Source organism: Homo sapiens, chromosome 3 (genome assembly GCF_000001405.40).
Source record: "Homo sapiens chromosome 3, GRCh38.p14 Primary Assembly".
Taxonomy (NCBI): Eukaryota; Metazoa; Chordata; class Mammalia; order Primates; family Hominidae; genus Homo; species Homo sapiens.
Genome location: NC_000003.12, coordinates 181287184 through 181305098, shown reverse-complemented (window position 1 = coordinate 181305098; position 17915 = coordinate 181287184). Strand labels below are relative to the sequence as shown.

General features: G+C 35.6%; 1 long non-coding RNA gene across 3 annotated transcripts in view, besides 1 other annotated feature; it reads right to left on the bottom strand.

Moving 5' to 3' along the window:
• Window positions 1-17915, bottom strand: part of SOX2-OT (SOX2 overlapping transcript) — a 685549-nt gene that overhangs the window by 437130 nt on the left and 230504 nt on the right. The gene's annotated exons all lie outside the window — the stretch shown is intronic.
• Window positions 11505-12704: an enhancer, noted in NCBI's record as "CDK7 strongly-dependent group 2 enhancer chr3:181010183-181011382 (GRCh37/hg19 assembly coordinates)". NCBI's record gives its function as "activates an origin of replication core promoter dependent on BRD2, BRD4, P300/CBP, MED14 and CDK7 cofactors, with strong dependence on CDK7, by STARR-seq in HCT116 cells {active_cell/tissue: HCT116}" and the evidence as "EXISTENCE:reporter gene assay evidence [ECO:0000049][PMID:35650434]".

Genomic DNA, 17915 nt, shown 5'->3' with positions numbered 1-17915 from the left:
CATAATTATTGGGCGTTACCACACTCCCATAATGCTGAAGACTGGCCATCACTATCTAATTTTATTTCTTCTACAAATCTATGTCTAGATCTACTCTAAAGGGCAGTATAGAGAAAAGATACCATGAATTTAATTATTTTAATATTATTTAAAGAATCAAAAGTCAATCACTATGAGCATCTTTTACAAGGCACATTCCTTTTTATAAATTTAATTCATGTCACTGCAAGAATAAGCTAGTATTCTATTTACAACAAAGGGTTAAAATACAGATGCTGTGAATGAGATGTATAATCCTTAAGGCCTTAGGGCATTAAGACATATCTGCTCCTTAGGGTCCATCTTTGTCCATAATCAATTTCTTCCCTTGGAGAACATTAATTGTCTCTAATGATAGCTTTCCATCAATACATCCTTGATCTTAAAAGGCCTGTACAGCTTTTTCCTTTATTCAATCAAATCATCTCTACAATTGCCCCCCTTTAGTAAGATAATACCTTTTAAGCCTTGTATTTTAATATAAAAAATAAGAGGTAGCTGCAAATTCTAATGGAAGTGCTAACATTTGAGAACCAGGATGATGGCTTCCATTATCCTAAATAATGTTTGAAGATTACAGAAAGCACTGTGTTTCAAAAGGTGGAAACTAATCCACCACTTTCAAATTATTCCTTGTATAAAAATCGGTTCCGACATTAGGATTTTTTTTTTTTTTTTGCCCCAGTAACGGCACTGTATATTTAAATATTTGAATATGAAAGATAATTTTTCAGCTCTGAAATGGCAAATAATTGCTATTTATAAGGACAAAATGCTGAATAATTTGAGGAATTGACAACTTTAAACACCAAAGCCCTTTATTTTGTTATTCTCCTGATAAGCCATTCGCACACTCTTCACTCAAACCACCACAATCCTAATCAGTAGTTACTAAAATTATTTAATTTTGTGATGGCTAAAAAAAAAAGAGAGTGAGCGAGAGAGAGACCTTAGTCTCTTCATGACCCACTAATGTGTCTTGCTTTCTTCCCCCATTTGCCTTCCTCAAACCTGCTTTTCTAAAAGCATGGAAATTCATTTTTTTTTTTTGTCATTCTACTGATTGTTTCCATTCAAATAGATGATTGCTCTTGCACTGCTTTATCTAGGTTACCCAGGACAAATCTGTGTTTCTGTCCAAGGCCTCGCCACAACTTCTGCACAGATTGCCCTAATATTTATAATAGGTAAGAAAACTTGAGAAGAGATACTGATAGGACAAAAGCTGTCTGCCCTACAGAATTCTTCTTTGGGTAATTTCTATATTCTGTAGGAACATAGCAAAATGTCCATGCTGCATATAAAGTATCATTCTTATCACTGCAAGATTAGGAAGCCCTCCTCACCGGAGTCCATGGCTTACATGTGTGCTTTCTCTCTTACTTATAAAAAATCTGCCAGCATTCTAGGAAATAGATGAAGAGACTCTGTGGAATGTAATTAACTGCAAAGCCCAGGTGATTAAAAAACCGATTAAAAGAAAATAACACACACAACACAGAAAAGACCTTATTCACTGAAAAAAGATGGGGGGAAGGGGAGACAAACAGAAAAATTCCTATTTATTTGGGGTTTTGTCTAGTAATACGTGCAATTCTAAATCCTAAATTTATATTATGAATTAAAATATAAGCAATATTTTGTAAATACATTGGTTGCAAAATGAATACCAAAAGAAATATTAGAATTTTGTATGGAGGGAAAAGGTGTATATGAGGTAGATAATATCACCCTAACAAATATCAAACCTAAACAAAACACGCATACAAAGTGAGACCAGTTAACAACCAAGATAAGAGATGAAAATTGCCACTGGAGCAGATCAACTTTATTCAATGCCCTGATAAGCACCTATTTGCTCTTCCCCATTATGCTTTCTTAGTATTTATAAATTATCATTTAATTATGCTGGCAAGTGGTAATTGTCAAATAAAGCTCAGATAGGCATAAGCCCTCAGGCTGCACATGACAGAAAAATATCTGTTAAAGCTGGGCTGATTCACACGCTTAGGAAATAATTTCCTTTCTTCTTTTTATCCTTGCCAACAAATTATATGAACTGGCACTTTGTGCTTTGTAGGCATTTTGAAGTCTATGCAGATTACAGAAAAGAAAAATTAGTTGTTTCAATATCTACCATTCCTAAATTATTCTGCTGATTTAAGACTCCACGTACTGAGAGAACAAAAGAGTACCAAAGATCAAGAAATTCAAACCTTCCTCTACTTATAGTTTATGCTCAGGGTCATTTTCAATTGAGGAAATCAAGATTTGGAGAATTATTTTACATATTGTACAATGGATTTTACATAAAGTAGGAATTGGAACATGACATTCATCCCATTAGGAGAAATACAGAAATCTCGTTTTCCTTAAGTCCCTTACTACTTAGGTTTAATTAGTACCCAATCATCCCACCTCTTTTGTATTGAGTATTCTAAAAAAAAAAAAAAAAAAAAAAAGGAAACCTTCCAGCTAGTTGCACCACTTAGGTTTGGCTGTGGAGCATAAACACAAATAGACAATTATAATGCATATAGAAAGATAAGTTGAATACCAAGCGGCAATTTAATTCATATCTTATATTTAGACAGAATGTTGCATTTTGGTTATATATGTAGAGCCACTTGTAAATTATTTTTAATTCCAAGGCTGGGCAGAGAAGACACAGAAAATATCCTCTCCCTCCCTTGTGAGAAAGAGAGAGGAGAGAGAGTGAGAGAAAGAGAGACAGAAGGCGGGGTGGGGGGAGAAGCAAAACTTGAGTTCCTCTTGTGAGCAAAGATCATCACCCTTCTTTTTGGTTCCCCATCTCACTCCCTCCCTCCAGCTACCCTGGGCTGCTTTGGGGGCTGTTTAGTTACCATGTTCCCTCTTGCCTCAGTCTTTGTACATGTTATTTTTACTGCTTGGAAAGTTCTTTAAAACTTCAATTCCACTCCCTTCATCACTTCCAATCTTCTCAATCTATTTAAGTCCTACCCATTCTTAAGATCCTAATTCAAACATCTTTTCCTTAGGAAAGCTTTCTCCAAACTCCTACACCCAGTTCCAGTCACCTGGTGATATTTACTCTTGCAGCACTTATTACAGTGTAAGAAAAAGAATGATAATAGCAAATTATATAAACTTTATTATGTGCTAGACTACTATATGTTTTAACAGAAACCTCACAGCAACCTTGAGGAGGAAGACACTGAGGCATATCAACATAAAATAACTTGCCTAAGCTTCTGCAGCTAACAAGTGGTAAAGCCAGGATGCAAACTCAAGCCTGGGTTCAGAGTGTGTGCTCTTAACCATTGCTTCTTACCACTGTACTTACTTGCACAATTGTCTAGTCATTATTTGTTAATCCCCCCCTCCAACCCCCAATAGTTTGTAAGTACCATGAGCCTGTAGTTATGTCTATTTTGCTAAGGCTTGATGCATAAAAGGAACTCAATAAACAATTATTGAATCAATGGCCAAACGTTCAGCTCAAAATAAACATATGGGTTGAAAGCTGAACACTGCTTCATATCCCTGAGCTATTTTAGCTGCTGACATTGTTCCTCCTTATTTGGGGACCAGTCTGCTACCTTAATCCAGAAAGACAGCTTGACCTGGCAGAAAGTATTTCATGTGTCTTTGCCTCAGTGAATAAAATGCTTTTGTTTTTTGGGCTTTTGTTTTTTTATTTAAATGCCTTAATTCCTTTTATTTTAAAGATTTTAATTAAAAAGCAAAACGTTTTAAGTGTCATTGGTATTTTAAAACATATAAGTTATATAAAAATAATCCATTTACACAGATACTTTCTTTTGAGACTGAGTAGATATTGAGACCAGTATCATATATTACAATGCAGACTCAAAAATATATACCACTCTGAATGCAGAGAGACAATGGTACATTTGGCGTATTTTGCAGCCAGAATACAGGGTGCAATCTGTGTATTATTAATACTAGGTACAATCTGTGTATTATTAATACTTATTCATAGTCAACAGAAATGTTAACAATGTTTTGTCAAAATGTATAACTCATATTTGAATATGCAGTCTAGTCTTGAATAATTCAATTCACCGTATTCATTTGAAAAGTTAGCCATTTTCCTCTTTTTGCTTTGTTTGTACATACTTTTAGAGCATTTTAGTCCATGATGTGGGCTATTCAGCAACTCATGCAAATTTTCTTTTTAAAAAGGAAATAAAATGCTTTTTGGTAATCAGAATATAAAAACACATCCTGACTGGCACTTGGGAAACCAAACATAACTTAACCTTAATTCAGGCAGCCCTTTTTAAATAAGAGATGTTCCCTAGGCAGGCTATTAATTCGGAATTGCAAAGCTAAACTACATTCGTATCTTGGTATTCATAAATACTTTCTGAGTACTCAGGAATGGTTTTTCACTACTTATTTATTTTCATAGGCACTACTCTAACGCAATAGAAATTCTTTTAAAACGAAGTCGCCATTTTCAAAGAATGCTTTGCATCTTCTGTATTACATTGTTGTTTTGCCACTTATGATCTAGTCAGGATATTGTTGTAGCTTTGAAGCACTTTTCATTATAATTAGAGACTTAGCTTTTTAAAAAATAAAGCATTTACTTCTCATTACCATAAAAACAAAACAAAATAAAAATCTATCCCATTTGAAGATTGAAGAAACTAAGGCATTAAAAAATCAAGTGCCTTGCTCAAAAAATTGAAATTAAAATATTGTCCAATGACTAGTCATTTTACTTAAAAAATAGTGAATTCTGTACAATCACAGATATTCACATGGTTTATCTGGAAGAACAGTGCAAATATAATATCAGTAAGGCCGTCAACACATAGAAAATATCTTTTAATCCAAAACGTCAATATTTATAAAGTGCAAATAATCTCCTTCTCCCTCCCCTTCCCCTCCTCCTCCTCCTCCTTCCCCTTCTTCTCCTCCCTCCCCTTCTCCTTCCCCTACTCCTCCTTCCCCTTCTCTTCCTCCTTCTCATTCTCCTTCTTCTCCTCCTTACCCTTCTCCTCCTCCTTCTTCTCCTCCTTCCCCTTCTCCTCCTCCTTCTCATTCTCCTTCTTCTCCTCCTTCCCCTCCTCCTCCTCCTTCTCCTTCTTCTCCTTCTCCGCCTTCCCCTCTCTCTCCTCTTTCTTTTCTTTCTTCTATGCTGTTGCTAACAAATAATATTCTGGATGACTCCAAGGCCTATGACACTGAGAAGTATGTTCTGACTCTTCAGAGAACGAATAAGATATGTTGAGTATATAGTTTGAGGACTAAGCATAGTGATTATATTCCAGGCCTCTACATCCTTGACACCCATATGTGGATATGTGCTAATTCTTTTCCACTAACCAAAGGGAACTTGCAAATCAAATTCCTGACTGTTTTGCTACAAACAGAAGATTTAATGGATCATTATAAATCACCTAATAGGATATTGGTGAGATAGTGTAAAAAAAACAGAACTAATGTTTAAAAGGGGAGACAGATCAAATCCACAGACATTTAGATCTGCTTTTTTAACCAACATTTTGTATATTGATTGAAATGTCATCAAGCCCTAAAAATACATCACTTTATGCAATTGCAACTTCTCAGCTAACTTCAAGCCTTAATCATCTGTACACAAGAACTTAAAAGATGCCTGTTGGCTGGTTGCTAAATAAGAACACCATTCCAGCACTGTCCAATAGAAATGTAATGTGAATAACATATGTAATTCTAAATGTTCCTAGGAGCCACACTTAAAAAGTAAAGTGAAACAGGTGGAATTGATTCTGATAATGTATTTCATTTAACCAATGTATTCAAAGGATTAGCATTTCAACATGTAAGGGAACTATCAAATTATTTATAAGATAGATGACATTATTTCATTTTTTGTACCAAGTCTTCAAACTCTAGTGTGCATTTTATATTTACAGCACATCTCAGTTTCGGACTAGCCACTTTCAAGGGCTCGACAGCTACATGTAGCTTCTGGTTACCATATTGGTTAACATGAGCAATTCAAACCCTGTTAAGTGAATAAGTATTTTCTCTCTTGTGTTTTAAGTTAATGATGTTTTGGTGTAGCCAATAATACAAAATAATGTATGTTCCAATATATAAAATAAGCTGCTTTGACAACGAATATTTGAGAGGTAACATTTGTGGTCCCAGCTCCGTAAAAAAGGAACATTTATAATTGTCTCTGTTAGTTGAATTATCTTTAACAAGTTCCTACAGTAGTGACTGGTAGTGCTTATCACCATTGCTTCTGAATTTTCCAGTGAGGCTTGTAACTACACTTGGGAATTAAACATAGAAAAATACAGAGAAAACATATGAGGTAAACTTTTAATCAAGATTCCAAGGATGGTAGAAATATGTGTCTATAGCTGGTAGCATCTATGTTCTTCTGTCTTGTTTTAATTCACCAAACATAACCTCTGTGAATCATCCCATGATACACCATCTCTGGTCTCTTAGTCACTTAATTTTGAAACATTGTAATTATAATTGATTTCTCGCTCTTCCTTTAGTCATACACTTTACTAATTTTAAAATCTTGCCAATTCTGCCTCCAAAATGAATTTCATTTTTATTTCCACCTCTGCAATCTCATAGATTTAGATGGCGACTTTTTCATCTGACCCTTCTTGGACCGTGGCCACCTGCAGGCTCTGGGTCTTCAATGCATATAGCACAGTGCTGTTAGAGATGTCTCACTGAAACATAGAGGAAAATGTCACCCATGCTCACAGTCTTCTAATGCATAGGATGTAGTCCAAACTTCTTACTATGGCTATTGGAACACTCCACTCTTTGATCCCAACCTACTTATCTTAAACTACTACCTATAACCCATTGCATCTTAATCTTAGGCTCACTGTTCCATAATATACTGACCTTTCCTGCCCCTTGTCACATGCAGTCTTCCATCCTGGAATGCCTTTCCAGCCTCAATCCTCAGCCTAGTCTTCAAAATCAATCTTGAATTCCATCCCATAAAACTTTTCTAGATCTATCTATCTATCAATTCAATAAATGTTTTATGAGAGCCTTTGCTGTACACCAAATACTAAGCTACATGTTGGAGATTTTAAAAATATTTTTTTCTTAAAAATCCCCTAGGTCAGTAAGTAATATCTACAATGTAACATGATAAGTCCTTTAATCCAGATATGTACAGGGAGGGAAGAAAAATTCTGCCTGTGTGGAGGGAGGGCAGGCAAGATTTTATAGAGGAGGTAATATTTGAGCAGGATCTCAAAGGATTAATATAAATTTGCCAGGTAAAGAAAAAAAGAAGAATGTTCCTGGTAGATAAAACTGATTATTCAAAGTGCACAGAAGCATAAAAATATGTGCATGACTGGGGAGAAAGACAGTTTGGTACCACTAAAGAAAGGGTGATATTCAAAATATTTAACAATCAGTATGGAATGAGTACTGGCCAATCAGAATAGAAAATGGTTTCATTTGTACATAATAACTGAATATTAGCCCAGAACCAAAGTCAGGTGTACTTGGCAAAAGAGGAGTGGCAGTAAGGAATAGATCAATAACAGATTAGCAGGGCTATGATAATGATTTGAACCTATTCCAGGAGGCAGAAGGGAAGCATTGAAAGCATTTAGCAAGCAAAAAATATGTTATCAGTTATATTTTAGAAAGATTAACCAGGCAACTGTATTAAAAATGACTTTGAATGGGATGAAATAAAAGGCTAAGACGATTGTTGGATGATTGTCCAGGTAAGAAATGAAATGCAGCTGAACTAAACCTGTGGCCATGAAGACAGAGATGCAAGATCACATTTAAGGCATGTTTAGAAGACAACATTCACAGGACTTGATGAACAACTGAAAATGAGGGATGGGAAGCTGGTGGATAGATAAATGATGCATTTGAGGTCTCTAGAAAACTGATGCAGAGTGATGCTATTAAACTAAACAGAGAATATAAAAAGGAGGCATGCTTTTGTATATTTAGCATTTAAAATATCTAAGGAACACAGTCAGAAATGCACAGAAGACAGCTATCAATAGGAGATTAGAATCCAGGAGAGAGAAACTTCTGGAGCTACAGATCATCATTGGTGGCCAAAATAAAGAAAATAGATGGTTTCCTGAGGGTAAGAAAAAAGTACGAAATGGGAATGGCTGAAGATAAAATCCTGGTAAATATCATCAATTAAGAAATGAGTATAAAAATAAATCCGTGTTTGTCTATATTGAAGCTCTTTATCAACCTCAATTCTCTTCACTAGATCTTGACTTCCAGTAGGGCAGAAATCACATCTCACTCATCTTTGGGTTCCCTTAAGAGTATTTGGCACCTAGTAAGTTTGTGTGTGTGCGCACACACACACACAAACACACGCACAATATTTGCTGAGTTGAACTGAGCTTCAGCCTCATCCTGGAACATTTGAAGACTATATATGTGTGGACATATATATTCATGTGTGTATATTCATATTCATAAATATACATATTCAATCATTAAGACATTTAGTTAAATTATTCTCCATAGCTGTATTATTGCATATGAAAACTGGCTCCTCAGTGTACCTCCCAAATTCACCCACAACCTTTGAGTGCTTTCTTTCTGAATTAATAGTCTAATCCATTTTCCATAGGCCATAAAGCCAGATATCTTATGAAGGTGGTTGCTGGTCTATCGACAGTATAAACAGTGGACAATATGACCATGAAGAAGCTCCTGCAAAAATGGTCTATAAAATGATTGTTCTCCATCTACCTTTCATCTTTGTAGAGATTGCGATGCTATGAAAAGATTCCAAAACACCTGCTCTGCCACTTCTTGGTGTATGATGTGTACATGTCAGGTCACTTCCCCCCTTGAATCTGTTTGCTCATCTGTAAAATTAGGATAACATGGCCTACCTCTCAGGGTCAATGAGGAGAACTAAATGCAATCATGCAAGAAAAACCACCATGCTCATTGTTCACATAGTAGCCTTCATTTTTGGTTAGCATAAAACATTATTTTCTCTTTTGGATAAACTCGTAGGAAGAATAATAGATGTCTCCCAGAAAAGGAACTGGACGGTATGAATTAATTCTCTCAAAAGTGAGTCTCACGTTGAGAATGAACATTTGCAGTACAATTTATAATAATATGGCATAAAGTTTTCAAGAATGACAGAAAAAAGCATGAGTCTCTGTGTAAATGATCATTAAAGGATAGTTCTCTTTTAAATCATTATTTTGATCAATTTGAGTATAATTGTGCTTTTTACCTCAGCAGAGACACAGGCTGGAACTAGATAATGTAAAGGTTTAGGTAAAATTAAAACAAATCAATTGAATGCCAAATGCAAGGCAATGTGCTAGATGCTAAGACAAAAATACAGAGAATCCTCTGTCTTCACTTAAACCACTAACAAAATTTTGGGCCCCAGGAGAGACAACACGGTTGTTGTGTAGTTTGGTTAATTTGGGGCTGGGGGGTAGGATGGGTGGTGGAGTGTTTGCCTTGATATCCTTATATTTCCTAACATCAATGAAAAAGTCAACTTACTTTTTCTGCTACTATAAGAAAAAGCTGTAAAGAAAGTATATAAACAGCCTAGGATCATTGAAACCCATGGACATTTGGTAAACTCTAGAGTAGTCTTCGTCATATTTAATTATTACAATAAGAAAGAGGTCAAGAGCTTTAATATTAGAAGAAAAGTTTAAAAAACCAAGGTGCTGGTGTAAGTGATTAGCTCAGGAAAACAAAGTATCAGATGGAGAGCTGCAAATAAAAGGACGTTATGATGTAGTGAAGACAATCATGGGCTTTTGCAGTAAAATGATGTGGGTTCCAGTCCTAGTTCTGATTTATCCTACAATTAGCCTTTGGTTTCTTCAATTTCTAAAATGGTGAAAATGCTAATAGTGATGACTCTATCATAGGGTTTCTGTGAGGCTCCCATGAGATAAGGTATAGAGAGAGTCTTTGTAAGCTATAAAGCATTATGCCTGTGGGAACTTGGGTCACTTGGGCAGCAGTGCTATGAGGATTCTGACATATTGCCAGCAGCTGAGGTCCATATGCACCTTTGTTTGACTAGCAGAAATTAGGAACTGTCTATTCTTCAAAATAAGCTGTTCATAAACAAGGCAACTTACTCAAAAGTACTAATTTTCTTAGTTTTTCTTAACACTGCTGCCACGACATCCTCAGTCCCAGCCAAGAGAAATACAGATTTATTTATGTCCCCGAATGTAAAGTCAAGATTAACTACGAGAAGTGCTAGGGCTATTAGGGAATATAAATGTGTTCTTTATAATGCTTAAATTTCTCCTTATATTATGAATGTACATTGCAAAACATTTCTGCATTAGGTTATGAAAATATTAAAATACATTTATTATGCACCAATATATTTCTCTATTTGTGTGAGTTTCCTTCCAGTCTTTTTTGGAGAAGTTTATTATGACATATTTCTATATCAATTAGATAAAAAGAACAAATGATACACCAACTACCATATACCAGTTCAGGAAGTACAATGTTACCACTCAAGTTGAAGGTCTCTGTGAATCCCTCCTAAATTTCACTATCTCAATCCCCAAAACAAAGGTCAGAATTATTCTGAATTTCTTATTTACACACATAGTAATAGCAATATAATACTTACAATAAAGTTGTGTTTCAACATATTTTCATTAGAATTTACATTTACCTGTCCACAAACTATCTGAAATTATAAAAGTATTTTTAAAGCTTTTCTAGTTATTTTATTAATTAAGCTAAATAGAGAAGCTGGGCAATTAACCTAGGCCACAGACTCATTAGTGCTAAGTAGAACTAGAATCGCAGTGGACAGAATAAGGGTTAGGAGGCAGAAAATGTGGTTTGAGCCCCAGCTCTGTTACTTACTAGCTGGGTGACCTTTAGCTGTATCCAGGATTATTATAACGAGCAAACGAGATAATCTATGTGCAATTCTATAACCCACTTTATAAATGTTGTTTATGATTATCATTCGGGGTAAAGACTCTTGGCACTAAGTCTGAGATGATTGCCCCAACAAGTCTGGGACTCAATCCCCATCTGACTCAGACTACAAATAATAATTTGTCACCTCACAATAATTGCTGTTATTTACTGTACCCTTAACTTATATTAACCCAAGTAATCTTTCAAAAAGCCCTATGGGTCAATATTATGATCCTCATTTTCCAAATGAGAAACTTTATCTCCACAGAGGTTAAATAACATGCCTAAAGTCGCACCATTAACAAGAGCAACCAGAGATTCTAAAGCCCATGCTCCTTACAGCTGGGCAATATTGCCTCCTAGGTTTGGTCAAGGCTGGTTCATTTGGCTTAACAATCCCTATACAGTCTTTCTAGGGTACTATAATGCCAGCCTTCTTCCAAAAGCAAGAACCAGACCACAAGCCTCCTGATTTTCAATATTGTATCCCAGGTTTACATGCAAGATTTTAAAAATTAAACCTGTACCTTGTCATCAGTCTTTTTTATGAATTTAGTAACTTTATCAAATGAGAGAACTAAAACATGTTTTCTCAATTATCCATTTGAAAGGGAGGATCTTTAGCAAATGTCTGGATTTCCTCCAATTGTTTCCTTCTATGGAGTAGTTGAACATTTCTTCCAGTTTTTTAGTTTTAGTTGTTGTGGTCGCTACTGTTTTAGCAGCCCAATTCTAAATTTCACCATTCTGCAAAAGTGGAGACTGAGTTCCAAAGAGGCAAAGTCCCATAGCTGGTGGCAAATCTGAGACTGGACCATTAGTCTTCTCATGCCCAAGTCAGTGCCCTTCTGACAATATCACACTGCCTCTTGAAGGAATATAATACTCATTTTTTTACATTTTAAATACAATGTAGCTTTTTGATTTGGTATTCATTGACACCATGGCATCATAGCAATGAGTCAATCTTAGAGTAAAACCCATGAACTTATGACTTTTAAATAATAGAAACATTTACCAAAATGACTCATTTCCTGCTGGGGTTTAAAGGGAGGACAAAAAGATTTCTTTCTTTATCTCTTGTTTTATTCGTTTTTTTCAGTGCTTATAAAGAGAAGGAAAAAAAGATTTAATTTTAAAAATTTTCCAAAACTAGGAAATAGCAATTCCAAAACATAAGTTAGGAATTTTGGGCTTACAGATAAACCTTTTAGAAAGGGTGTTCTAAGAGCTTAACTAGAAAGTAATTAAGCTCCTTTTTCATTTACTATAAAACAAATTCATGGGGGTTTTCCTAACAGTAAATAGTTGGACTGCATTTAATATACGGAAAGAAGAAAAAGAAACACAGGTAAACGTGATTTTCCTTGCACTTTCTCCTTGAAGACTACAGTCCTGGGAAAAATTATATCTCAATAAGGAAATGGCTCCTTAGCAAGTGGTTTTGCTGTATACTTGCAATGTCTAAGAAATCTTAGTTCAGTTCCACCAATAGTAACAGAAAAGGCATATATACAAAAACAGATCATTGCTATAACAAGGGAGAAATGCAAAGGTAAACTCAGGATGCAACAGAACCACAGAAGAAGGGCACCTACCCCTTCCTCTAGGCTTTTTATTCAGTCTTGAGGGGTGCACAAGTGTCAGCCAGACAGGAATACTAAGATGGCATTCCAGGCCAAAGAAACCCCCCTGTGTGCAGGAAATGAATAGCAATTTGGTGTTACCAAAGTACCAAGCACAAGAGTGGTTCCCTAAGATAAGGCTTAAAGGTATAAGAGAGAGTCCTTCGAAGTCCTTGAGAACAATCTAAATCTGTATTAAGACAACAATACATGGCGATCTATTAAGGGATATGTAGCAAGAATTTCACTCCTCATAATGAGTAATGACAATTATGAATTTCTTACCTTTTAAATTTTAAGTTAAAACCAATTCAAGTTCAACCCTACAGTAAAGTTAGTCTAAGACATTTGCATTCCAATATGTCTCCTTGAGTGGGAGAAAGAGAATCTCTTTGGTAGGGGGGATGGGACAGTTAAAACTATACTGCCTACTTGCGACCATTCTTCTCCGTTTTTTTTTTTCTTTTTTGATGTAGTGGTTCAAAGTTTGGGAACCCTATGCTTTGAATTACACTTTATGATCAGATTCAATCGTCCAGTGCAGAATAAACTGATTGCAGTCCCAATATTACCCTTATAATAATTCTGGCTTGGTTCTTTCGGGACCCTTAAGATTTCCAAGAGTATATTGAGGGTGCAGAGTGGGAAGCAGCTGCCCCTATGCACAACCTGCTATGATATAGTGATGCTAATGTCCAGGAACTAAAATATTTACATTGAAACGATTGTATTAGGTTGAATAATAAATAGTCTGTTTGTGTTCAAAACACAGGCTTAGTCGTTAATAGTAAATAACATTAACCTAAAGGGAAATCATTCATTCATCATTTAATGAGCAACTACAACATGTCATTCTGTGAAAGTTTCCATCAGGGAAAACAAAGTAGGGAGGTCCTTACAGTTTAGCATTTGTCACAGGCCTAGGATAAGCCCACAGGAAGCTCTACTTCAAGGCAGACTATAAGAACAATAACAGAAGTTTCAGAAAATTGCTGTGAAGTTTGAGAGGCAGGGGAGATTAAATAAATTTAGAAAATTGCTCCAATTTCCATAGGAATAATAAATATGATCAAGAACAGAGAAAGAAATCAAGGATCACAATTTCCTCCCTGATTAGATTGCCCACTCTACTCCAAGAAGAATTTCAATTAGAAAGCCAGGTTTTATTATACACCCCAAAATGTGTACATTTTGTTTGTTAAAATAGATGAAAATTAAATTTCCAAAGACTAGAACCCCTCAGCTACTATTATTTAGAACTAAGGACAGCAAACAGCAATATCTCAGCTGAGCTCAACCACCGTGAGGACCCTTGGAGCAAAAGAGAGGATCGCTAAGGTAACCAGAAAGCCGAATGTAATTACCCAAATTGGAATTCAGCCAGGCAGTGCAGGCAATACCCACACTCTTTAGAAAATGTCACAGACTCTTTTAATAACCATGGCAATTTTATTCCACAAACATGTATTAGTAGGACATATCAGAACAAGAATAAAATATTCTTGTTTTTTACACCCATGAATGGATACACAGCCAGAGGAAAGCAGATAGAATATATATCTCAGAAACATGATTTTGAACGTTCTTAGTGGCAATATTCACTCTTGTTTCTAAATGTAATTTTTTAAAATGTAAGAAGAGAGGGGCAGTGCCATGTGTGCAATAGAATGCAAATAGAATTCAATAGAATATTAAATAGAATAGAATTCAAAAATTCAAATGAGGTGTCTTATATAACTGGTGAAGAGTAATGCTAAATTCCTCACGTGTTAGTTTAGTGTAAACATGAAAATACACTATTTACATTGGAAAGCCTAATGGTATGTATGGTATGCCATAGGATGTGTTACTACAGCATCAGGACAAAAAAAAAAGTCCTACTCGGTTTCTAATGTTTTACTTCAAAATTTTAAGGTATATTATACCAAAAATTTAAGATATATTATAATATTTAAGGTATAATATATTATAATATATATGTATTTTATATATATATATAAATGGTACAGATATTACCATTTATATATGTACCTGTACATATATGTACAGGTATATAGGTACATATATATACATACATATGTACATATATGTACAGGTATATATATATATATATATATATATATATATATATATATGGTACAGATATTTCTCCATGGAACTAAATTTTTTATTTTGCCTTCTTGCCAAAGTGAGTGATCTAGTTGTTGAATTAAATGATCCCATCTAACAAATATTTCATGAGTGCTTACTATGTTCCAGGAACAGTCCTTGTTCTTGCAGGCTTGTAGGTTGGTTAAGCACAGGAAAGAAAAATCAGTGGATTTTCAAGAAGTTAGAAATGTATAACCATGAGATGCCTGAAGGGTGGAGAAAGACTACCAAAACGAAGCAAAAACTATAATAAATACCAAGACCCAACATTGACCCTGTTGGTATTTTATAAGCAATATTTTACCTTGGCAGATGATAATCACCATGTTTAATGAATATTTACTTTGTGCCAAGCACTGTTCTAAGTGCACATTTTTTCTCTCATATTTTAATGGCACGAAACCTCAATATGGATCAGAGAGTGGGCTCATGTCTCATTCTAGGCAAGAGTGACATCTTAGTATGGCCAGCTCAGGGCTCAAGTCTCAGGGCCACTATATACTAGCTCTATTATCTTGGACAAGACACTAACTTCTATGTAACTTCAGTTGCCTTATCTGGAAAATAGGTGTAATTATATTTCTCCTTTGAAGTTAATAAGACCAAGTGTGATAATGTTTATAAAGGGATTAACACAGTGCCTGAAAGATAGTAAGCGACACAAAACTGCAATGGCTATGATGCTTATAAATAATGGTATAATACTAAAACACCTATTGTCATGAATCATCCTCAAGATACAAACACCCCTTTCATACAGCTATCCAGTTGGCTCTAGCCCTTCTTCCTCACTGCCTCCTGCTCCCTTGCCGCCTCCAGGTAGCTGTCAAGCTGTCATATCACTGAGAGATTGATAACAGGGAGCTGTCAGATCTCAAGCCTCTGCCCTACTCCCTTCCTTCTTTCTCTGCAGGCCAGGAGGTGATAGACTTGATGATTTTTTGTTGTATTTCGACCTTAAATTCATCATAAATTCTATTCGGGTAAATATTCTTTTCACATATATGCTTATATTTAGAGCCCCCTTTTCTCTTTACATTACATCAAATCCCTGCACATTTGCCTAGAAACATTTATTTCCCTTATTCTCTCAAGCCCTCCCCTCATACGTCACTGTGAGCCCAAAGACTAATACTAATTATCGTCAATAAGCATTAGCATTAGAGCATGGTTAACAGCGCATTTGTGTCAAGAAAAGGAAAACCATCCCCATCTTTAAGCTTGAAGTCACTAAGACCTTCATTCTTTTAAGGTCTTTCAAGTGTCTAGAAGACTGTTTTCTGCCCTATCTTTTTTTAGTTGATCCTTCTTTTCCTTAGACACGAGTGGCCAAGATAAATATGAAGCTAATTCTAATTGCATTTTATTCTGTTCTGGTTCTGTTTATTAGTGAAGAAGACAGCTGAAGCCTTGCAATATTTTGGCAATATTAACTCTTAATAGGAACTGGATTTTACTGGCATATTCATAATCTTGTTTCTATAGGAAAAAATATGCTCTGAATTCTAAACAAACTTACAAGCAAATGTATGCAACCAAAGTTTTGAAAAGTTGGGGATATCTATTATTTCAAGTACATTGCATGATACTAGAAAACATAAAGAGATGCTGATTTAGAACTCACACTGGTGAATTGCATACTCATGCTGAATTGGGAATTTACTTTAGACTCTTCACAGAGGATGAATTATACCATTTTGTCCTGATACTGTAGTCAATCTCACTCACAAGCAGTATAGATTATGCAAACCTAAAGTGATCTGTGGCAGTAAGTACAAGACTGTGATACACTCCAGCCTTTAAGAAAGGGCTGGGAATGACAATTTAGAACGACTCCTGCCAGGTTGCCAGCTCCCAGCATACACAAGAAGATGCATCCCTTTAGGAATGACAATTTAGAACGACTCCTGCCAGGTTGCCAGCTCCCAGCATACACAAGAAGATGCATCCCTTTATTGTTCTTGCATAGCAGTTGACTTTCATTGCTCAACTCTCAGTTTCAAGGTGACACATTACATGTGCTTCAATACTTAAGTAAAGAAACAATGTTTGGCTTAAAAGCCAATAACCTTTTACAAACCACAGGCCTTTCTATTGGAATAATCTGTGAGCGTTCTGAGTGCCAGTGAGATAATAGAATATGCATTTTGGTTGTGGTGGTTACCAGCAGGCTTATGTCCTAGGAGGATGGTCCTGTGAGAGAATTAGCTTGTATATTCAATCACCGGAATATGGTCAATGATAGTCTGTATTTACATTTACATATAATTATTTTAATTTTAAAACTTGCCAGATACTGACACAACAGATCATTTGGAATAAGTTATGCTTTCATGTAAAACATTATTTTTGTAGACTGTAAATAAAACAGTGTTTTCTTTTCCACTTCCTAATTAGACAATTGTCTGATTGTTTCTTAAAAGGCTCCAATCACTTATGTTCTTTTTTTTTTTTTTTTTTTTTGAGATCGAGTTTTGCTCTTGTTGCCCAGGCTGGAGTGCAATGGCGCAATCTCGGCTCACTGCAACCTCCACCTCCCAGGTTCAAGCAATTCTCCTGCCTCAGCCTCCCAAGTAGCTGGGATTACAGGCACCTGCCACCACGCCCAGCTAATTTCTTGTATTTTTAGTAGAGACTGTGTTTCACTATGTTGGCCAGGCTGGTCTCGAACTCCTGACCTCAGGCAATCCGCCTGCCTCGGCCTCCCAAAGTGCTAGGATTACAGGTGTGAACCACTGCGCCCGGCCCACTTATGTTCTTAAAGAATGCTATATAGACAATGCTTATTATGAAAGACAGTAAACATATAGACTTGGCCTATTTATCTTAACCTTTTTTACACTTAGTAATAACTAAGTTTCATGTTTCAATTCCATTCAAAACCCCTATAGAATTTAGGTTCAAATTAGAAAATACAAAATATGAATCCTTCAGAGCAGATTCAGTATTGTGACTCCAGCAGGCCTAAAAAATAAAAACCTGATGTTAATTTCATTTGCAAATAATACAAACTTGGAATCAGGCAAAATAACAATGGATCCCAAATATCCAAGTTTACATCTAGCCCTTTTAGAAACAATTTTATTACAGGCCTTCCCACTAGTTCCCTTTTGTAAACAGCAGTGAAAATTTTCTTGACAGTGACGCTGCTGTAAAACTGCATCCTCAATT